Source organism: Homo sapiens, chromosome 20 (genome assembly GCF_000001405.40).
Source record: "Homo sapiens chromosome 20, GRCh38.p14 Primary Assembly".
NCBI classification, from domain to species: domain Eukaryota; kingdom Metazoa; phylum Chordata; class Mammalia; order Primates; family Hominidae; genus Homo; species Homo sapiens.
The window spans coordinates 32,085,949-32,109,028 of NC_000020.11; the positions used below are offsets into that span (position 1 = coordinate 32,085,949).

The 23,080-nt window shown below is 46.7% G+C and overlaps 1 protein-coding gene across 6 annotated transcripts in view, besides 2 other annotated features; it reads left to right on the plus strand.

Annotated features, from left to right (window-relative positions):
• The window catches only part of HCK (HCK proto-oncogene, Src family tyrosine kinase), a 49,615-nt gene extending 33,707 nt beyond the window's left edge, over window positions 1-15,908 (plus strand). For all 6 annotated transcript variants that reach the window (NM_001172132.3, NM_001172133.3, NM_002110.5 and 3 more), the window contains 5 exons: window positions 680-859; window positions 2,620-2,696; window positions 7,915-8,068; window positions 13,056-13,187; window positions 15,369-15,908. In NM_001172132.3, the coding sequence (NP_001165603.1) occupies window positions 680-859; window positions 2,620-2,696; window positions 7,915-8,068; window positions 13,056-13,187; window positions 15,369-15,571 (746 nt within the window). In that variant the 3' untranslated portion in view covers window positions 15,572-15,908. The remainder of the gene's footprint in view (window positions 1-679; window positions 860-2,619; window positions 2,697-7,914; window positions 8,069-13,055; window positions 13,188-15,368) is intronic.
• Window positions 5,075-5,870: an enhancer, noted in NCBI's record as "H3K27ac-H3K4me1 hESC enhancer chr20:30678826-30679621 (GRCh37/hg19 assembly coordinates)". NCBI's record gives its function as "activates a minimal SCP1, AML or CMV promoter by ChIP-STARR-seq in naive H9 embryonic stem cells {active_cell/tissue: H9 hESC(naive)}" and the evidence as "EXISTENCE:reporter gene assay evidence [ECO:0000049][PMID:30033119]".
• Window positions 14,996-15,497: an enhancer, noted in NCBI's record as "H3K4me1 hESC enhancer chr20:30688747-30689248 (GRCh37/hg19 assembly coordinates)". NCBI's record gives its function as "activates a minimal SCP1, AML or CMV promoter by ChIP-STARR-seq in primed H9 embryonic stem cells {active_cell/tissue: H9 hESC(primed)}" and the evidence as "EXISTENCE:reporter gene assay evidence [ECO:0000049][PMID:30033119]".

Here is a 23,080-nt window from a genome sequence, read left to right on the forward strand (position 1 = left end):
AAAGTGGGCGGTGTATGTGTGTGACATAACCTGAGTAGTGTTTTAAAGCTATTTTTATTTGTTTGGGTTTTTTGTTTGTTTGTTTGTTTGAGACAGAGTCTCGCTCTGTCACCCAGGCTGGAGTGCAGTGGCTCAATCTTGGCTCACTGCAAGCTCCGTCTCCTGGGTTCACACCATTCTCCTGCCTCAGCCTCCCCAGTAGCTGGGACTACAGGCGCCCACAACTGCGCCTGGCTAATTTTTTGTATTTTTAGTAGAGACGGGGTTTCACCGTGTTAGCCAGGATGGTCTCGATCTCCTGACCTTGTGATCCGCCCACCTCGGCCCCCCAAAGTGCTGAGATTACAGGCGTGAGCCACTTAGAGCTATTTTTAAATCCTTGCAACAGCACTTCAAAGGCAAAGCTTACCATTTCCACTTTACAGATGAGGAAGCTGAGGAAGCCACGGCTCAGAGACGTTAAGCCACTTGCCCTAGTGTGCACAGCTGGGAAGTGGTGAACCCGCCTTTCAACCCACAGTTGTCTGAGGCCTAAGCCCATGATTTCGCTTCCCTCTCTGAGAGTTGAGATGAGCAGGAAAGACTTTCTGGAGGAGGCGGGTCTGCAGCTGGGCCTTCTAGGGTGGTACGGGAGACCAGTGGGCTCTGACCACCTTCCCTGCTCTCTATCCCCCTCCAGCCACCTACAACAAGCACACCAAGGTGGCAGTGAAGACGATGAAGCCAGGGAGCATGTCGGTGGAGGCCTTCCTGGCAGAGGCCAACGTGATGAAAACTCTGCAGCATGACAAGCTGGTCAAACTTCATGCGGTGGTCACCAAGGAGCCCATCTACATCATCACGGAGTTCATGGCCAAAGGTGCTGCGTGCTGGGGCTGGGGGTGCAGGCTGTGGCCTATACTGGTCAATTGCGGGCCCAAGGGTGGCTTGGACATGGTTCTTGCCCTTGAGATGGCCCCAATCTGGCCAGGAGCTCTTCCAACAAGTACTCATTGAGAATCTAATGTGGAACAATCCAGCCCTCCTGGTTAGTGGGGTGAAATCATGTTAAGGGGTCACCAAGGGGAAGGGAGAACAAGGGGCTACCAGGAGAAGGGAATGGGGCCAGAATACTCCTGGGCAATGGGAGAAGGGGCTTATGGTTCACAGTGAGCCTTAGAGGCCAGGGTGTGGCATGGGTGGTGGGGGTGCCACTCTCCCGCATCAGCCACCTTCCCTGTACTTGCCAAAGCCCTGGGAGAGGGAGCTGGCAAAGCAGCAGTTCTGCCCCCACCCCCGCCCTGCCACAACTCAGGATTTCTTGGGGAATTTTTTTAGGCCACTGTTTCACAACCATTTTCAACCCCTGCCATTTTTTGTTTGTTTGTTTTTTAGGGACAGGAACTTGCTCTGTTACTCAGGCTGGAGTGCAGAGGTGCAATCATAACTCCTGGGCTCAAGTGATCCTCCCACCCCAGCCCCCCGAGTGGCTGGGACCACAGGCCCATGCCACCACACTCAGCTAATTTTATTTATTTATTTACATATTTATTTTTAGAGACAGGGTTGCCCTCTGCCTACCCAGGCTGGAGTGCAGTGGCGTGATCATAGTTCACTGTAGCCTCAAACTCTCAGGCTCCAGGATCCTCCCGACTTAGTCTCCCCAGTAGCTGGCACTACAGGCATGCACTACCACACCCAGCTAATTTCTAAAAAAATTTTTTTTTTTTTTGAGACAGAGTCTCACTCTGTTTCCCAGGCTGGAGTGCAGTGGCACAATCTCGGCTCAATGCAAGCTCCACCTACCAGGTTCACGCCATTCTCCTGCCTCAGCCTCCCAAGTAGCTGGGACTACAGGTGCCTGCCACCATGCCTGGCCAATTTTTTTGTATTTTTAGTAGAGACGGTGTTTCACCGTGTTAGCCAGGATGGTCTCAATCTCCTGACCTTGTGATCCGCCCGCCTCAGCCTCCCACCATGCTGGAATTACAGGCGTGAGCAACTGCGCCCAGCTTCTAAAATTTTTTTCTAGAGACAAGGTCTCGCCATCTTGCCCCAGCTGGTCTCAAACTCCTGGGTTCAACTGATCCTCCCAAAGCTTTGGGATTATAGGCATGAACCACTGAGCCTGGCCTAACATATATATTTGTAAATTTCTTCTATAGATGGGGTCTTGCGATGTTGCCCAGGCTGGTCTCAAACTCTTGGCCTCAGGTGATCCTCTCACCTCGGTCTCCTAAAGTGTTGGAATTACAGGAGTGAGCCTCGTGCCTAGCCACTCTGCCCATTTTTTGATAAACAGAATCATCTCATGCAATCCCATTTAGTGCGATTTGAAACCTCAAGCCTTTTTCATTTTAACTATGCAATTATGCCAGTCCTGTGAAGGCATGATCCCAGCCATCCAGGCTCAGGGGCTGTCTCAGTCACAGAATCCATCTAGCAATCAAAAAGTCACTTCACTAAAACTCAATTCTCTTTCTCAAACACTAGGAATTGCAAACAAATATTCGTATTTAAATCTACTACTATGAAAAATCTTCACCACACACTAAAGTACTAGATTGGTGCAAAAGTAATTGTGGTTTTTGCCATTAAATAGTAAAAGTAGTAAATGTTCCTCCCCTCTCCCCCATATAGGAAGCTTGCTGGACTTTCTGAAAAGTGATGAGGGCAGCAAGCAGCCATTGCCAAAACTCATTGACTTCTCAGCCCAGGTGAGAGCCTAACGAGGAAACGGGGAAGGGAAACAGGAATTCGATTTTTTTACTTGCCAAATATTTACTGACCACATACTATGATGATAGCAGTAATAATAATGGGTAAAATGTATTGAGAGCTCAGTATAAAACTATGTTTTTTGCATATATTTTATTATACATGTACTCATTCATTTAATCATCCTATAAGCTTTATAGGCTGGGATTTTTGTTATCTATTTTGGTATAACAAACCATCCAAGTCCTAGTAGCTTGAAACAACAGCAATTGTTATTTCTCATGATCCTGTGGGTTGCCTGGGTTCAGCTGGGTGGTTCTTCTGCTCGTCATGGTAAAGTGAGGTGCAGATGTTGGCACTTGCCCAGGCTAGAATGTCCAAGACATGGCTCAGCCTCCAGGGTCTCTCCACATAGCCCCTCACCACCCAATCACCCAGCCTGAGCTTCTTCACGGCGCAGCAGCTGGGTTCCAAGACAGAGCTGGACCAGGGGCCAAGCCTTCATGAGCAGGCTCTCATTAAGCCTCTGCCTGCATCAGGCTTGCTAATGGCCCATTGGCCAAGTCACATAGCCATGCCCAGAATCAGTGTGGGAGGGGACTGACCAAGGACACAAATCCCAGGGACCCCCTCAATGTAACAGTCTGGCCACAGAGTAGGTAATTATCATCCCATTTTACAGAATAGGAAATTGAAGCATAGAGCAGAAGTAAAGTACAGATGTGGAAACTGAGCCCCAGTGTGGTTAAGTGGCTTGCACAAGTTACTGTGCTAATTATGGGGGATATAGCAGTGAACAAAATGAAAATGTTCCTGTCCTAATAGAGTTCACAATCCAGGTGGGAAGATGAGTATTAAATAACCAAATCTCTTAGAGACCATGACCCAAGTGGTCCTGGCTGAGTCAAAAGAGCACAGTATCTAACAAAGTAAATAATGTTCACAAATCGCAAAAACACTGCTGAAAACCTAATTTTCTTTCTCATGTTCCCCACGCCCCTTGCAGCTCCTCTCACCCCCAGCCTAAGCAGTTTTTTCACTTCTGTCCTCTCTCATGCTCTCTCTGATGTCTGGGAAAACAGAGTGTAAGGACGGGGTGGTATTAGAGTGCATAGCTAGAGCATTTAGCCTGGTCCAGGAGCAATCAGAGAATGCTTCCTGGAGGAAGTGGCCTCTAGGCCGAGCCTGAAGGATGAATAGAAGTTCAGTAGATGAAGAGAAAAGGTAAAGGTCTTTTAGACAAAAGAAACAGCCTGTGCAAAAGTAGGTGAAGGAGTTCAGCCTACTCAGCAGGAGCCCAGGGATAGTGGGAGTTGAGTGAGACCCTGCCTGGGCCTCAGCTGGGCCTGCTGGAGATGCCAAGGGCAGGGCTCATTTGAGTATGCAAATTCAGGGGCCCAGAGGACACCACAAAGTGTAACAAAAGACTCTACTTTCAGAGCCTGGAATGCCAGAGGCATATGGAAATGTGTTTTCACTCCTATGGGCCAGGTCCTCTGGGAGACAATAGACTGGTCTGTTGCTAAATTATCATCTTCAAACTAGCAGAAGCCCTGCTGGGCAGCAGTCACCGACCAGGGCAAGAGCCACTCTGCCCGTTTCACAGAGGGGAAAACAAACCAAGGGAGGAAAAGAGGTTCTGGGCCTTCATCTGTCCAGAAGCAGAGGTAGATTCAGAGCCCAGGGACAGAAAGGAGCCCACCTGGGGCTTTGGTCTTCACCTCCAGACTCAGAGAGGCAGCTTGGAGCAGCAGGTGGAGAACTGGACCACACATGTGGGGTTTCTGTAGTCACAGCTTTGTGGGTGACATGAAATGTTATTCAGTAGCTGCATATATACAAACAGGTCAAAACAGAGCTGCTCTGACTGAAGCAGGGTGGGGGGCTTATCTGTGGCCTTTCTTTTGTCTCCCCCACCCCCATATAACCTTGAGGCATCCATAGGATTCAGTTGGAAGAGCTCTACAGGTCCTTCCAGCTCTGATGCTGTGACTCCCTGATACTCTTTGGAAGCAAACCCAAGGGTGCCCAACCTCATGGCACCCTATCTGGGGGTCATGAAATCTCACCGCCTTTATCAACCCGCAGTGCTTACACCTGGGCCCAATAAACCTACTCGTTATTCATTCAGTCAGCAGACCCTGGAGAAGCAACACTATTAGCATCTGGGCTTAGGAGTCACACAGAGTTTTGTTTTGATCTCAGCTCTGCCTGTGTAGCCTCAAGCAAGTTGCTTAACCTCTCTGAGTGCCACTTTCCCCCACTGGGAGCACTGGGAGCCACTCTTTAAATAAATACTTAACTATGTGCCAAACACTCTACTAAGCCCTTGATGTAGGCTTAGGGGATTCATCTTCACATGACCCCTTGGAACCAGGTGCTATTACAGAGAAGAAAAGTGAGGTACAGAGAGATGACACAACTTGCTTGACATCACAGAGCTGCAGCGCTCAAGCTGAGTTGGTCCAGCTCCAGAGCCATTTAGCTATTACCCTCTGCTGTCTCCTAAGTGGGGTGTCATCCCTGCCCCATCGAGCTCCTGTGAAAATCAGTAGCATATGAGCATCTGCCAGTGAGCATCAAACAGTGGTAACTACCAGCATTAGTCCTTGCTCCAGAAGAAAAGCAAGGCAAAAAAGCTGGGCCAAGTAACAGGTAAGTGCGTGGACCCCAAGCAGCGCTTTTGGAGCTCCAGCCCTGGCTCCGCAACTTGCAAGCTGTGTAAGCTGGGGCCACTTACCTATTTCTCTGGGCTTCAGTTTTCTTATCTGTGGAAATGGGGCTGATAACAAAAGTGCCTCCTCCAAAGCACATGGTAAATGTCACATAAGTGTTTAAGTATCATCTTATAAATAAGCTATGATGCCTTCCATTAGCATCATAACTTTTGTTAACTGTTCATCTAAGGACTCATAAATTTCCCACACTCCCAGGGCCAAGATGCTGTCTCACTCCACCCTGGCAACCTCATCCCCATTTCGTCCCCACCCCCCACTATTCTAAACAAAATCAGAGTCTCTTCCAAGTTTTTACTGAAAAATTTGGGTCTCTGGGTCTCCCTTGGGCATGACAGCTCAGGCCTGTAATCCCAGCACTTTGGGAAGCTGAAGCAGGAGGATCCTTTAAGCCCAGCCTGGGCCACATAGTGGGACCTCTTCTCTATTAAAAAAAAAAAAAATTCTTTTTAAATTTAATCTGGCATAGTGGCATGCACCTATAGTACCAGCTGCTTGGGAAGCTGAGGTGGGAAGACTGCTTGAGCCCAGGAGGCACAGGTTGCAGTAAGCTGTGATCCCACCACTGTACTCCGTGACAGAGCAAGGCCCTGTCTCAAAAGAAAAAAAAAAAGAAGAAAGAAAAGAAAAAAGCAAAGCATGGGTCTCCATTCTAACTGCCTCGGGTGCCCCCTGCTGTCCACCCCTTGCAAGTGCGCCACCCACTTGCCTCAGACCTTGAGAAGCCGGCCGGTGGTGCTTTGATTGTTCTGTCTAGTCAGACGCCCTCACTTCCAGAATAATTTCATCAGACTGCACCCAGCTGCAGTCTGCCGGAGCACTGGAGTGCTGGGTTATTTAGAGGCAGCAGGATGCACTGGATTGGGAGTCCTCAGACTGGTTTGAGCCTGACATTCAGAATTTTCCTGGTGGTGTGATCTGGAACAAGTGGTTCCATGTCTGTAAAACAGAGATTATGATCATTCCTGCCTCAAAGAGCTCAAGCCCAGTTTGTAAACCAAAAGTGCTGCTTTCTGGGCATCTGAGGGTTCATCTTCAACCGCTTTTGTCCAAACCCTTGTAAGTAAAAATGTCTGCAAGATATAATCCCTGTGTTTTCATCAGAGGCTTCTAGGGCTCCTGGTGTGAATAAGAATCCTCCACGCAGTCTGTTAGTCACTCAGCAGCCATGGTGATCTTTAAATGTACATCAGAACATGTCACGCTCCTGCTCGAAGGCCTCTAATATCTCCCCAACACGCTCAGAATAAAATCCACCCTCCTCTCCTGACCTACAAGGCAGTTCATGATTGGCGGCCTCCCTCTCAACTTCAACTCTCCCCACTCTCTCTGTGGCATCTTCTGCTGGCCACACTGACCTCTGTGCTGTTCCATGAACACCCAAGCTCTTACCTACCTCCACGCCTTTGCATCTCATGTTCTCTCTGCCTAGAATATTCTTATGCGACACACTTATTATTATCATCATTCAGATCTTTGCTAAAATCTCACCCCCTCAAAGCAGGTTTCCCTGAACGCCCAATCCAAAAAAGCTCTCTACAGGTCATATTTTGTTACTTTGTTTTATCTTTTTTTTCTTTTTGAGACAGAGTCTTGCTCTGTCGCCCAGGCTGGAGGACAGTGGCACGATCTCGGCTCACTGCAGCCTCTGCCTCCTGGGTCCAAGCAATTCTCGTGCCTCAACCTCCTGAGCAGATGGGATTACAGGCGTGCACCACCATGCTCATCTTCTTTTTGTATTTTTAGTAGAGACGGGGTTTCGCCATGTTGGCCAGGCTGGTCTCGAACTCCTGGCCTCAAGTGATCCGCCCACCTCGGCCTCCCAAAGTGCTGGGATTACAAGTGTAAGCCACCATGCCCGGCCTGTTTTATCTTTTCTTTATGGTACTTACCACCTGCAGGGGCTTTGCCGGGCTCATCACCTGTTCAAGCAACATGTCTGGCACCCACAAGACACTCAGTGGATTTCTGTTGAGTAAATAAGTGAATTTTCCCTACCCAGGCTGGGGCATGAGGAAGATATGAGAGGTATAGCAGAATATGACATGAACCTGGGTTGTCCCCAGAAAGAGAGTTGAAGGTGAAAGCTCTTCATAGTATCCTAGGGTTCGTGTGTGTGTGTGTGTGTGTGTGTGTGTGTGTGCATGTGCACGTGTGTGTGTATGTGTGTTCCTGGAAGAATAGGTCCTGGAGAAATAGTCCCATTGCTTTTTCCCTGAGAACATTTCAAAGTGCTCTCTGGAAGTCTTGGAATTCTAGAGAATCCCCCAAACTGGCCCAGGCCTCCTTAGGGATCCCCCTAACCTGAATGGGTTGATGGAGGAATGCCACCCTGAGCCCTGGGGCCCTCCCGACACAAAAGGGAGGGCTGGTGCAGACATTTCGCATTTTCTTCACTTGAACACCTCTCTGCTGCTTTTGGGTGGGGCCATCTTGGCGTAGGCCAGGTCTGAGGACAAAGGTGTCTCTGTTTGGGGTGCAGATTGCAGAAGGCATGGCCTTCATCGAGCAGAGGAACTACATCCACCGAGACCTCCGAGCTGCCAACATCTTGGTCTCTGCATCCCTGGTGTGTAAGATTGCTGACTTTGGCCTGGCCCGGGTCATTGAGGACAACGAGTACACGGCTCGGGAAGGTAGGGAACGCTGCCAAGCAGCCCCACGTTGCCCATTTGGATGCTTGTGAGTGTTGAGAGTTGATACTTGTGAGAGCGATTGGTAAAATGCAAGGGACTGCCCCAGTACTAGCTGTGCATTCTTGAGCTTGGTGGATCCTTCTGGATAATGTCCTGAACTTCAGAGTCTCACTCAGAGATTTTGAGGAGATTTTAGATCAGATTGAGAAGTACTGATAGATTTTAGAGGGAGTGGGCAAATATATGTCGAAATTAAGGGTAAGAGCAGCTTTGTGCATAACAGACAAAAATGGGGAGGGTATCCAAATGTCCATAGCAGGAGGATGGATTGTGGTATATTCACACAATATAATACCACGCAGTGATGAAAAAGCACAAACTGGCCAGGCTCAGTGGCTCACGCCTGTAATCCCAGCACTTTAGGAGGCCAAGACTGGAGGACTGCTTGAGCCCAGAAGCTCAAGACCAGCCTGGGCAACACAGGAAGACCTAGTCTCTACAAAAATTTAAGAAATTAGCCAGGCATGGTGGCACATGCCTGTATGCCTGTAGTTGTGGCTACTCAGGAGGTTAGGGTGAGAGGATCACTTGAGTCTAGGAAGCTGAAGCTGCAGTAAGCCATGATCATGCCACTGCACCCAGCCTGGTGGACAGAGCAAGATCTTGTCAAAAGAAAAGAAAAGAAAAGAAAAGAAAGAAAGAAAGAAAGAAAGAAAGAAAGAAAGAAAGAAAGAAAGAAAGAAAGAAGGAAAGAAAGAAAGAGAGAGAAAGAGAAAGAAAGAAAGAAAGAAAGAAAGAAAGAAAGAAAGAAAGAAAGAAAGAAAGAAAGAAAGAAAAGAAAGAAAGAGGCACAAGCCAATGCTAAATGCACCAAAATGGGTAACTCTCACAGGTATAATATCAAAATGAAAGAAATTAGACCAAAAAAAAAGAGTAGATGCCACTTGGTTTCGTTTTTGTGAAATTCTAAAAGAGACAAAACATGTAATTGGACATTCATGGCAGCATTCTTCCTAATAGCCAAAAAATGGAAACAACACTCTTTAATGTCCATCAATTGATGAACAGACGAACAAAATGTGATATATCCATACAATGGAATATTATTTGGCCATAAAATGGAATGAAGTACTACGCCAGGCTAGAACACAGATGACCCTTAAAAACATTTTGTTAAAGGAAAGCCAACATGAAGACCACATGTTGTATAATTCCCCTTCTATGAAATGTCCAGAAGAGGCAATCTTTTTTTTTTCTTTGAGATGGAGTCTTGCTGTCACCCAGGCTAGAGTGCAGTGGCTCAATCTCAGCTCACTGCAACCTCTGCCTCCCAGGTTCAAGCGATTCTTGTGCCTCAGCCTTCTGAGTAGCTGGGATTACAGGCGCACACCACCATACCCAGCTAATTTTTGTATTTTTAGTAGATAACAGGGTTTCACCATGTTGGCCAGGCTGAACTCAAACTCCTGACCTCAAGTGATCCGCCCGCCTTGGCCTCCCAAACTGCTGGGATTACAGGTGTGAGCCACCATGCCCGGCCCAGAACAGACAAATCTAAAGAGACAGAAAGTAGATTATTGGTGCCTACAGCTGGTGGTGGGGAGTTGGGAGAAATGAGGAGTGACTTCTGTGGGTTTTTTGCAGGGAAATGTGATGAAAGTATTCTAAAATCCACAACTTTGTAAATATTCTGAAAGCCACGGAATTATACACTTTAAATGGGTGAAATGTATGGTCTGTGAATTCTATCTCGATAAAGCTGTTAAAGAAAGAAACAGGCAAAATTTATTTATAGCACTAGAGGTCAGAATTGCAGTCACCTTTAGTTTCTGTTAGCCTAATATTTATTTATTTATTTATTTATTTATTTATTTATTTATTTATTTATTTTGAGACGGAGTCTCGCTCTGCTGCCCAGGCTGGAGTGCATTGGCGCCATCTCAGCTCACTGCAAACTCCACCTCCTGGGTTTAAGTGATTGTCCTGCCTCAGCCTCCCAAGCAGCTGGGATTACAAGCATGTGCCATCATGCCCAGCTAGTTTTTGTATTTTTAGTAGAGACAGGGTTTCACCATGTTGGCCAGGCTGGTCTCGAACTGATGACCTCAAGTGATTCACCCACCTGGGCCTCCCGAAGTGCTGGGATTACAGATGCGAGCCACTGTGCCAGTCCTATTTATTTTTTTAAAGAGACGGGTGCGGCCGGGCACAGTGGCTCACACCTGTAATACCAGCACTTTGGGAGGCCAAGGCAGGCGGATCACAAGGTCAGGAGTTTGAGACCAGCCTGGCCAATATGGTGAAACCCTGTCTCTACTAAAGATACAAAAATTAGCTGGGCGTGGTGGCAGGTGCCTGTAGTCCCAGCTACTCGGGAGGCTGAGGCAGGAGAATCATTTGAACCCGGGAGGCAGAGGTTGCAGCAATGAGCCGAGATTGTGCCATTGCACTCCAGCCTGGGTGATAGAGCGAGACTCCGTCTCAAAAAAAAAAAAAAAAAAAAAAGATAGGTGCTTGCTCTGTTGCCCAGGCTGTAGTGGAGGGGTGAGATCATAGCTCACTGTAGCCTCCAACTCTTGGGCTCAAGCAATCTTCCAGCCTCAGCCTCCTGAGTACCTGAAACTACAGATACGTGCTACCATGCCCAGCTAATTTTTTAATTATTTGTAGAGATAGTGTCTCACTGTGTTGCCCAGGCTGGTCTCAAACTCCTGGACTTACGTGATCCTCCTGCCTCAGGCTCTGAAAGTGCTAGGATTACAGGCATGAGCCACTATGCACAGGCTGCAGTCACCTTAAGTAAGGGGGTATTAACTGGAAGGACGCAGAAAGGAGCGTTCTGAAATGCTGAAAATGTTCTACAGCCCAATCTGATGGTGATTACAAGGGTATATATATATATATAAAGCTGCAGCAAAATGGATATTAAAGATTTGTGCATATTATTTCATGTACGTTATAACTCGATTAAAAAAAATTTAGACCGGGCACAGTGGCTCATGACTATAATCCTAGCACTTTGGGAGGCCAAAATGGGCAGATTGCTTGAGCCCAGGAGTTCAAGACCAGCCTGGGCAATATAGCAAGACCCCATCTCTACAAAAAATTTAAAAATAAGTCAGGCGTGGTGGTGTGAGCCTGTGGTCCCTGCTACTCAGGAGGCTGAGGCGGGAGAATCGCTTGAGCCCAGGAGGTTGAGGCTGCAGTGAGCCAAGATCATGTCACTGCACTCCAGCCTGTGTAACAGAGCAAGACTTTGTCTCAAAAAAGTAAATAAATAGGGCCGGGCACGTTGGCTCATGCCTGTAATTCCAGCACTTTGGGAGGCTGAGGTGGGAGGATCACGAGGTCAGGAGATCGAGACCATCCTGGCTAACACGGTGAAACCCCATCTCTACTAAAAATACAAAAAATTAGCCAGGCGTGGTGGCGGGCACCTGTAGTCCCAGCTACTTGGGAGACTGAGGCAGGAGAATGGCGTGAAAGCCGGGAGGCGGAACTTGCAGTGAGCTGAGATGACACCACTGCACTCCAGCCTGGGCAAACAGAGCGAGACCCTGTCTCAAAACATAAATAAATAAATAAATAAATAAATGTAATGACTAAAGGAATAAAAGTAGAATGTATAATTTCTAAACCAGAAGAAGATAAGCAGGAAATCAAGAAAAGTCTGTAGATCCAAAGGAGGAAGGGAGAAAACATATACACACACACACACTCTCACACACACAAACACACACATAGAACATTTTCAAAACTTGACCATGTACTCAGTCATAAAGCAGGTCTCAACAAATTCCAAAGAACATATATTCTATAGACCATGTTCACCAACCATGATATAATTAAACTAAACACTTTTTAAAAAAGGATAACTATGCCAGGTGCGGTGGCTCACACCTATAATCCCAGTGCTTTAGGAGGCCAAGATGGGAGGATCACTTGAGCCCAGGAGTTTTGAGAACAGGCTGGGTAACATAATAAAACACTGTCTCTACAAATTTTTCTATTTTTTTATATTTTATTTTATTTTATTTTATTTTATTTTTGAGACGGAGTCTGACTCTATCATCCAGGCTGGAGTGCAGTGGTGTGATCTCGGTTCACTGCAACCTCCATCCCCTGGGTTCAAGTGATTCTCCTGTCTCAGCCTGTAGCTGGAACTACAGGCACCTGCCACCATGCCCAGCTAATTTTGTATTTTTAGTAGAGATGGAGTTGGCCAGGCTGGTCTCGAATTCCTGACCTCAGGTGATCCTCCTCCTTGGTCTCCCAAAGTGCTGGGATTACAGGCACAAGCCACCATACCTGGCCAAAAAAATTTTTTTAATTAGCTTGGCATAATGGGGCACACCTGTAACCCCAGGGGCTTGAGAGGCTGAGGCAGGAGGATAGCTTGAGGTCAGGAGTTCGAGGCTTCAGTGAACTATGATTGTGCCACTGCGCTCCAGCCTGGGCACTCTGTCTCTAAAAGAAAAAAAAAATGAAAAGGCTAACTAAACCCATGTCAGACTAGGTGGGAGGAAGGGCGGGTAAAGGGAGAGACACATAGTGACTGGTGGGAACCTCATGGGCTGAGAGCCAGAATCCTCCCTTTTCCCATCGCCCAGGATGAGAGGACTGAGGCATCAGCTGCAACCTGGACTCAAGGCCCCCTGAAGTCCTTCTGTCCCCAAAGACCTGTGACCTCTGGGATTCCACTCTTCGGAGTTGCAGTTAACTGGGGTATCAGCTGAATCAACGAGGAGGATTCTAGAGTGAACTTCCACACCATACCCCAGGCCCCTAAGCCCACTCCTCCTTGTTTAGCCATCTGTCCTCAGGATGGATGTCCCTTGCTTCCACAGGGAGGCCACGTATCAGGGAAATTGCAGGTCTGCAGGGGCAGATGTTGGCAGCTCTTGCCCTTGCCTGTTCCCCCACCTTAGCAGAGCCAACCCTCACTACTCCCCAGCCTTCCCCGACTCTGCTCTGTTCAACCCTGCAGGGGCCAAGTTCCCCATCAAGTGGACAGCTCCTGAAGCCATCAACTTTGGCTCCTTCACCATCAAGTCAGACGTCTGGTCCTTTGGTATCCTGCTGATGGAGATCGTCACCTACGGCCGGATCCCTTACCCAGGTAGGGAAGGGGCATCAGCTCAGGGCTGCTACCAGGGCCCAGTCTGGCAATGGGCTCATCTCAACAACATGTCCATTCAAACTGAGTTCTTGATCCTCACCCCCAACCTTCCCTCACCTTTCCTGTCTTAGTTAAAGGCACCTCCATCCATCTAATGTCTTAAGCCTGAAATCTGGGGGCTTCCTTGGCCCTTCCTTCTCTCTCACTCCTATGACTTTTTTTTTTTTTTTTTTTTTTTTTGAGACGGAGTCTCCCTCTGTCACCCAGGCTGGAGTGCAGTGACGTGATCTCGGCTCACTGCAACCTCCGCCTCCCAGGTTCAAGCGATTCTCCTGCCTCAGCCTCCTGAGTAACTGGGATTACAAGCATCCACCACCATGCCTGGCTAATTTTTGTATTTTTAGTAGAGACGGGGTTTCACCATGTTGGCCAGGCTGGTCTCGAACTGCTGACCTTAGGTGATGCGCCTGCCTCGGCCTCCCAAAGTGCTGGGATTACAGGCGTGAGCCACTGTGCCTGGCCTCACCCCTATGACATCTGAGCAGTCACAGGGTTTTGGCCACTCGACTCCAAAACATATCCCAAGTCTCACCACTTTGAACCCCACAGTCTCCACTGCATCCAGGCCAGCGTCATCTCCCATAGATGGTGCAGCGGCATCCTCATCAGTCTTACTGCTTTCTCCCTCCTCGTCCTACAGCCTATTCTCCACTTGCAGCCAGAAGGATAATTCTAAACTTTAAATCAGATCTTGTCCTTTCTCCACCTTTTTTTTTTTTTTTAAGACAAGGTCTCACTCTGTCACTGAGGCTGTAGTGCAGTGGTGTAATCATAGCTCATGGCAGCCTCGACTTCCTAGGCTCAAATGATCCTCCCGCTTCAGCCTCCCGAGTATCTGGGACCATAGGCACATGCCACCATGTCTGGCTATTTTTTATTTTTTTAATTTTTTTGTAGAGACTTGGTCTCACTACGTTGTGCAGCCTGGTCTCTAACTTCCAGGCTCAAACGATCCTCCAGCCTTGGCCTCCCAAAATGCTGGGATTACAGACACACACCACCATGCCCAGCTAATTCTTTAAATTTTTTGAGAGACAAGGTATTGCTATGTTGCCGGGCTGGTGATTTCCATTTTTAAGCGATGCTTTCAGCATGGAGAGTGAATGGGAGGGAAAGGGAACAGGGTGGCAGCCAGTGAGGAGGCCACAGCAGTGGCCCAGGCAGAGGTGATGATGGTCTGGACAGGGTGGTGGCATTCGTGACTGGCATACGTTGATGAACTGGTGCTACGTTTCAAAAGGAGAAAAGATCTGACTTGCTGACTTAGGAGGTGAGAGAGAGAGAATAAAGGATGATTACCCTGGCTTTGCACCACAGGGTGGGTAATGGTCTAGGGATAGAAATTGGAGAGCTCTGTTTTAGCTCTGCTAAATTTGAGTTGACTTAAATATAGAGACATCCAAGTAAAGGAAGCACTTGAGTTCATGAGTTTGGAGTTTGAGACTAATAATATAAAATTGGGGATCACAGACATTGAATGGCTATTCTTATGAATAGCTAATAGAAACTTGAACTGAACAAAAAAATGGTCCCACCCATAGGTTAACATTGAATCTGGCCACCTGAATGTTTTGTCTTGAGGGTGCACTAGTCAAAACCAGGCAACACACAATAGACGCTGAATCCATTAGGATGTGTTCCACAGCAAGCAACAAAATAACAGACAAAGAGTAACTGAAATAGAAGCAATCTATTACTCCCAATCTTCCATTGGTGACTGGTTAGTTCAGCAACTCAGCAGCTGTCAGGACTCTGGGTTCCTGTCTCTATGATGGTCTTCTCCATGTTGTCAGCTCCAAGTATCATAAGTATCTCACAGTGTTCAAAGGAAGAGATGAAGGGTGCGTTCTCCAAAGACTCTCCTCTAAGCGGGAGGAAAAACCTTTCCATCACTTTCCCAGCAGACCTCCCCATCAGCTCCCATTGGCCCAAACTGGGTCCCAGGCCCATGTCCTAGCTGCAAGTGAAGCTGAGGGTGGAAGTCTGTCTTTCACAGTGGAAGGGGCTCAGCTTGCAAGGTGAGGTGGGGAGTGATGCCTGCTGGGGAGGCCACAGGGCCTGCCACCCCTGGGCTCTCATTTCCCAACTGCTTCCGTTTCTAATTCCACGGCTCCTTTTCAGGGATGTCAAACCCTGAAGTGATCCGAGCTCTGGAGCGTGGATACCGGATGCCTCGCCCAGAGAACTGCCCAGAGGAGCTCTACAACATCATGATGCGCTGCTGGAAAAACCGTCCGGAGGAGCGGCCGACCTTCGAATACATCCAGAGTGTGCTGGATGACTTCTACACGGCCACAGAGAGCCAGTACCAACAGCAGCCATGATAGGGAGGACCAGGGCAGGGCCAGGGGGTGCCCAGGTGGTGGCTGCAAGGTGGCTCCAGCACCATCCGCCAGGGCCCACACCCCCTTCCTACTCCCAGACACCCACCCTCGCTTCAGCCACAGTTTCCTCATCTGTCCAGTGGGTAGGTTGGACTGGAAAATCTCTTTTTGACTCTTGCAATCCACAATCTGACATTCTCAGGAAGCCCCCAAGTTGATATTTCTATTTCCTGGAATGGTTGGATTTTAGTTACAGCTGTGATTTGGAAGGGAAACTTTCAAAATAGTGAAATGAATATTTAAATAAAAGATATAAATGCCAAAGTCTTTACCAAAACGTTGGTTTTCCTGTCCTTCCAATTCCTGAATATCTATTTGCCTTCTTGCTGTATGACAAGTCAGAAATGGTGAAGGACTCTCCCGGGGACCAGAAATACAAAGACAAGTGGGGTTCAGACTGGGTGCTGTGGCTCCCACCTATAATACCAGTGCTTTGGGAGACCGAGGAGCGGGGGATTGCTTGAGCCCAGGAGGTCGAGGCCACAGTGAGCTATGATCGTGCCACTGCACTCTAGCCTGAGCGACACAGTGAGACCCTGTTTAAAAAAAAAAAAAAAAGATGAAGAAGAAGAAAGAAAGGAAAGGAAAGAAAATTGGGGTTCAATGCTTGAGGTTTTCTAACTGCCCTAAAATAGTTACTGGCTATATTAGTTTCCTCTTGCTCCTGTAACAAATTACCACATATCTGGTAGCTTAAGACAACAAAACTGCATAACATTACTTGGCCGGGCATAATGGCTCATGCCTATAGTTCCAGCATTTTGGGAGACTGAGGTGGGTGATCACTTGAGATCAGGAGTTCGAGACCAGCCTGGCCAACATGGTGAAACCCCGTCTCTACTAAAAATACAAAAATTAGCCAGGCATGGTGGTGGGCGCCTGTAATCCTAGCTACTGGAGAGGATGAGGCAGGAGAATTGCTTGAACCCGGGAGGTGGAGGTTGCAGTGAGCCGAGATTGTACCACTGCACTCCAGCCTGGGCAAGACAGCGAGACCCTGTCTCAATACATACATACATACATACATACATGTATAACCTTACTGTTCCAGAAAAGCAAGACCCTGTCTCAATCAATCAATCAATCAATCAGTCAATACATGTATAACCTTACTGTTCCAGAAGTCAGAGGGACTGAAATGGGTTGGCAGGGCTGCATTCTTTTTGGAGGCTCTAGGGGATAATTTGTTTCCTTGCCTTTCCCAGTTTCTAGAGGCTGCTCCTATTCCTTCACTCATCAGCCCCTTTCGTTCATTACTCCAAACTTTGCTTTCATCTTCATATCTCCTCTGAGTCTTCTTCCCCTCTTTTATTTGTAAGAACTCCTTGGACCCACCTGGATAATTCAGAATAATCTTCTCATCTCAGGATTCTTAATCACCTTTGCAAAGTCCCTTTTGCCATGTGAGGTAACATTTTCACACGCTCTGAGGGTTAGGACATGAACATCTTTCGACGGGGGGCACTTTTCTGCCTTCTCCACTGGTATCCAGATGCTGGATGGGTTTTGCCTCCAAGGAGATGGGTCTTCCAGGATGACAGGAATGGTTTCTCATGATCTGGGACCCTGACTTTCCTGTTAGGCCACATTGCTATAAGAGCTGGTCAGTTTACAGCTCCCCAGAGCTGGGGGCTGCCTGCAGACCTGACGTTTCCCATGGGTCAAGCAGCCATCATACTTGTCGAAGTGGTATTTGCCATTGCAGGAATCCTGGTCTGGAGATATGGCTGCTGAGAGGTGTCTAGTACCCTACAGGGGAAGCTCTCAGTGGAGGGGTGGGAGACCTGCGTAGGAAGCAGAGAAGACGAAGCAGTGCGGGCTTCCTGAATGTTGCCTCAGCTGAAAGACCCTGGCAGCTAGTTTTTATCATAGAGAGAAAGACAAAAGAGGTGGACAATGGGTGAAAACGAAACACCACCTTTCTATATTATTGCATCCCCTGAAGGTTGTACATCACATCACCCCCCAGGGTCCCATGGAATCCTATACTAACTTGATTCTGTACTTCTGAGTAGGGTGGGGTTCTAACCTTAGGAACTGAATATAAGAACAGTGGAAAATAAAGCTAGCAGTGTTTCAATTTACCTAGTTGGTAATTTCTTTCTTGCTTTCTAGTTTGGGGTATGGCTTGGGTACATGAAAGCAGAGCCCAGGGTCTTCTGATGGAAATGTTCCCTTATGATTTGTGATAATAATCCAATGGGAGGAGTACATTTCCCTGCTCCATCAGTGTTGAGCTTGACCGTGAGACTTGCTTTAGCCAATGGGATGTTAGCAGATGTGATGCAAGCAGAGGCTTGAAACGTGCTTGTGGGGCTGGGCTTGCCTTCCAGTCTTTTGCCCTGAAAAGAACATGGTCCGAGGAAGATGAGTGACAGATGGAGCAGACCTAGACCAACCTGCAGGCCTGAGCCCAGCCTAGATCAACTGAGCTCCATCTGACCTGTGGACATGTGAGAGAGAAATAGATGCTTTTGTGTTCTGGGGTTGTTTTGTTACATAAAAGTATGACAGCCACAGCAACTGAGGCACGATCTCAGGAGTTGGAGCCTATTGCTTATGAACAAGGTTAAGAGATCAATTTCTGCTTCTTACTCTTTCAATTTATACCGCCCAAACCAACACTGATTTGTCTCTCTGGTCACCGAAAAGACAGGTAAAAACATGGGGATAGATACAACACCAAAAGCATGATCCACAAAAGAAAAAAAAGATAAACTGTACCTCTTTAAAATTAAAAACTCTGCTCTGCCAAAGACACTATTAAGAAAATAGAAACATGGCCAAGCGTGGTGGCTCACGCCTGCAATCCCAGAACTTTGGGAGGTCGAGGTGGGTGAATCACCAGAGGTCAGGAATTCGAGACCAGCCTGGCCAACATGGTAAAACCCTGTCTCAACTAAAAATACAAAAATTAGCCAGGCATGGTGGCGGGCGCCTGTAATCCCAGCTACTCGGGAGGCTGAGGCAGGAGAATTGCTTGAACCCAGGAGGCGGAGGTTGCAATGAGCCAAGATCACACCATTGCACTCCAGTCTGGGTGACAAGAGCAAACCTCTGTCTTAAAAAAAAAAAAAAAGAAAAAGAAAAAAGAAAAGAAAAGAAAAGAAAAATGTGATTCCCAAGCTTGTAGAAAATATTTGCAAAAGATATCTCTGATGAAGGACTGGTATCTGCAATATATAAAGAACTCTTAAAACCCAACAATTAAAAAAAACCGTATCTGCTAAAATAGCTGAGATTCAAAACACTGATGACACCAGATGCTGAGGAGGATGTGGAGCAACAGGAACTCTCATTCATTGCTGGTGGGAATGCACAACGGTACAGCCACTTTGGAAGGCATCTGGCAGTTTATTACCAAACTAAGCATAACCTACTACACAATCCAGCAATTGTGCTCCCATATGAGTTGAAAACTTACGTCTACACACACTCACAAAAATGGCACATGGATATTTACAGCAGCTTTATTCATAAATGCCAAAACTTGGAAACAATTAAGATGTCCTTCAATAGGTGAATGGATAAACAACTTGTGGTATATTCACATAATGGGATATTATTCAGCACTAAGAAAAAAGAGTTGACCAGGTGCAGGTGCAGTGGCTCACACCTATAATCCCAGCACTTTGGGAGGCTAAGGTGGGAGGATTGTTTGAGCCCAGAAGTTTGAGACCAGCTTGGGCAACAAGTGGGACCCCCCCCCCCACCATATCTACAAAGAGTTAAACATTTAGCTGGTTGTGGTGGCATGCAACTGTGGTCCCAGCTACACAGGAGGCTGAGGCAGGAGAAACACTTGAGCCCAGGAGATTGAGGTTGCAGTGAGCCGTGATTGTACCACTGCACTCCAGCCTGGGCAAGAGAGTGAGACCCTGTCTCAAAAAATAAATAAATAAATAATATTGGCCAGGCACGGTGGTTCACGTCTGCAATCCCAACACTCTGGGAGGCCAAGGCAGGTGGATCACTTGAGCCCAAGAGTTTGAGACCAGCCTGGGCAAGATGGTGAAACCCCATCTCTACAAAAAATACAAATATTGGCCGGGCATGGTGGCAGGTGCCTGCAGTCCTAGCTACTCAGGAGGCTGAGGTAGGAGACCTACCCAGGAGGTCTAGGCTGCAGTGAGCCGTGATTGTGCCACTGCACTCCAGCCTGGGTGATAGAATGAGACCCTGTCTCAAAATAAATAAATAGCGGGGCACAGTGGCTCACGCTTATAATCCCAGCACTTTTGGAGGCTGAGATGGGTGGCTCACTTGAGGCCAGGAATTTGATAACAGCCTGGCCATCATGGCGAAACCCTTTCTCTACTAAAAATACAAAAAGATTAGCCGGGCTTGGTGGCAAACACCTGTAGCCCCAGCTACTGGGGAGGCTGAGGCAAAAGAATCACTTGAACCTGGGAGGCAGAGGTTGCAGTGAGCTGAGATTGCACCACTGCGCTCCAGCCTGGGCGACAGAGTGAAACTCTGTCTCAAAAAGAAAATTCAAAAATAAATAAATAGGCCGGGAGTGGTGGCTCACGCCCGTAATCCCAGCACTTCGGGAAGCCGAAGCGGGTGGATCACCTGAGGTCAACAGTTGCAGACCAGCCTGGCCAACATGGTGAAACCCCGTCTCTACTAAAAACACAAAAATTAGCCTGGCTTGGTGGCGGGCACCTGTAATCCCAGCTACTCGGGAGACTGAGACAGGAGAATCGCTTGAACCTGGAAGGCGGAGGTTGCTGTGAGCCAAGATCATGCCACTGCACTCCAGCCTGGACAACAAAAAGCAAAACTCCATCTCAAATAAATAATAAATAGATAAATAAACCTTTTAAAAAGTTATATATAATATTATATATATTTTATATTTATAAATATATAGTTATATACTTATATTAAACATAGATTATAGTTTACAGCTGCTGTGTTTCTATATCTTAGCTATTATGAATAGTGCTGCAATAAATACGGGGGTGCAGACATTGATTTCATTTCCTTTTGGATATATACTCAGAAGTGGGATTGCTGCATTATATGGTAGTTCCATTTTTAATTTTAATTTTGATGAACATTCATACTGTTTTCCATAGTGACCGTACCAATTTATGCAAGAGTTCCCTTTTCTCCACATCCTTGCCAATACTTATTATGTGTCGTTTTGATAATAATGGTTCTAAGAGGTGTGAAATGATTGCTCATTGTGGTTTCGATTTACATTTCCCTGATGATTAAGGATGTTGAGCACCTTTCCATTTACCTGCTGGCCATTTGTCTGTTTCCTGAGAAATGTCTGCTTAGATCTCTTGCCCATTTTTAAACCAGGTTATTTGGGATTTTTTGCTATTGAGTTATTTAAGCTCCTTATATATTTTGGATATTAACCCCTTATCAGATCGTTTTTGATTTGTAAATATTTTCCTCAGCTCTGGAGGTCACCTTTTTACTCTGTTGTTTCTTTTGCTGTGCAGAGCTTTTTAGTTTGATGCAATCCCACCTGTCTATTTTTGCTTTCGTTTCCTGTGCTTTTGGTGTCATATCCAAAAAATCATTGCCCAAGCCAATGTCAAGTTTTCCCTATGTCTTCATCTAGTAGCTTTACAGTTTCTGGCCCTATAAGTCTTTAATCCATTTTGAATTGATTTTGTATATAGTGTGAGATAAAGGTCCAATTTCATTCTTTTGCATGTGGATATTCATTTTTAGGGATGACGAAAATGTTCTGGAGACGGATGACGGTAATGATTGACAACTTTGTGAATGTAGTTGATTTCACTGATTTGTGCACTTAAAAATGATTAAAATAGTCAATATTTAGTTATGCATATTTTACAACAATGAAAAATATTTAGGCCGGGTCCAGTGGCTCACACCTGTAATCCCAGCCCTTTGGGAGGCCAAGGCAGGCAGATCACTCGAGGTCAGGAGTTCTAGACCAACCTGGCCAACATGGCGAAACCCCATCTCTACTAAAAATACAAAAACTCAGCCGGGCTTGGTGGCATGCACCTGTAATCCCAGCTACTCAGGAGGCTGAGGCAAGATAATTGTTCGAATCCGGGAGTCAGAGGTTACAGTGAACTGAGATTGCGCCACTGCACTCCAGCCTCGGCAACAGAGTGAGACTCCATCTCAAAAAAAATTTTTTTCAGAAAAAAAAGAGAAACTTGCCCATGTTATGGAGCTAATGAGTGGTGGAAATGCGTTCTGAACCCAGGCAGTCTAGTTCTAGGATTCTGGCATATGTCACCAAAAGAGATTGGGATATGAAAGGCCTTTAGGGAAAAATACAAAGCATGAGAAAAAAAATGGAAATACTAAAAAATAATAGGCCATTTATGGAGCTTTGCTCCTTATCAGTTATCTTTCTTCAGGCAGCTAGAAATGGTGGGAAACACTCAGGATCGAAGCTCTAGGAAAACTGGTTCCAAGTCTGGAAACTATGAGACTGCAGCAAATTCCCCCTAGTCTCTCAAGCTTCCTCCTCCTTGGGGTTAATAGCCAATCTGCCAATCTTCAGGATGGTTGTGCAGGTCACAAGAGTTAATGGGTGTGTGTTTCAATGATCTATTACTGAAATGATCTATAATAAACCACCCCACTCTAAAGCTGGGCTTAGCTGGGCAGTTCTTTTGGTCCACATGGTGTTCATGAGGTTATTCATGTAGCTGCATTCAGCTAGTAGCTCAGTGGGGGTTGGAATGTCCAAGATGACTTCAGTTACATATTATAGTGCTTAGCTGTAGTTTCTAGAATGTCTTGAGGAGTTGGCTGGGCCTCCCTCTCTCTCCAGGTGCCTTTCCAGCAGAGTAGCTACACTTCTTTATAACCAAGAAGGTAGAATCAGACGTTTTCAATCCTCTTAAGGCCTAGGCTCAGTACTGGCAGAATCACTTGTAGCACATCCTATTGGTCAAAGCAACCAACATGACCAGCCAGATTCAACAGGAGGTAAAACAGAGTCTATCTCTTGAGGAGAGAAACCGTATGCTCATCATGCAAGGACGGACAGAACTACGTGGCAGCCATCTTTGCAGAAAATCCACCACAGTGGTGCCCATAGGTGGGGATCAGAGTTCAACTGTCCCTTGCCCCCTAGAATTAGATAAAAAGAGTCTAATGAACTGTTAGCATAATGCTAAGTGCTGCAGCACACAAAATGCTCGGCAAGTGCTGATGATTATTATTAATCATTATTATTCTTTTAATAGCTTTTTTAAAACAGTCTAAGATAGCACTGGTACTGTATTCAGTTTAAAGTGATATACATGGGTCAAATGAACTTTGAGTTCTTTCCCAACCTTAATACCATGATTCTTTGAGTCTCTTTTTCACAGATTTGGAAACTGAGGCTTAGGAAGATTGCGTGACTTGTCTGGAGTCACACACTAAGCTAGTGCATGACGTCCACATTCAGAGATATCTCCCTCCACTGAATATGCTGGTTTTCACTCGTTC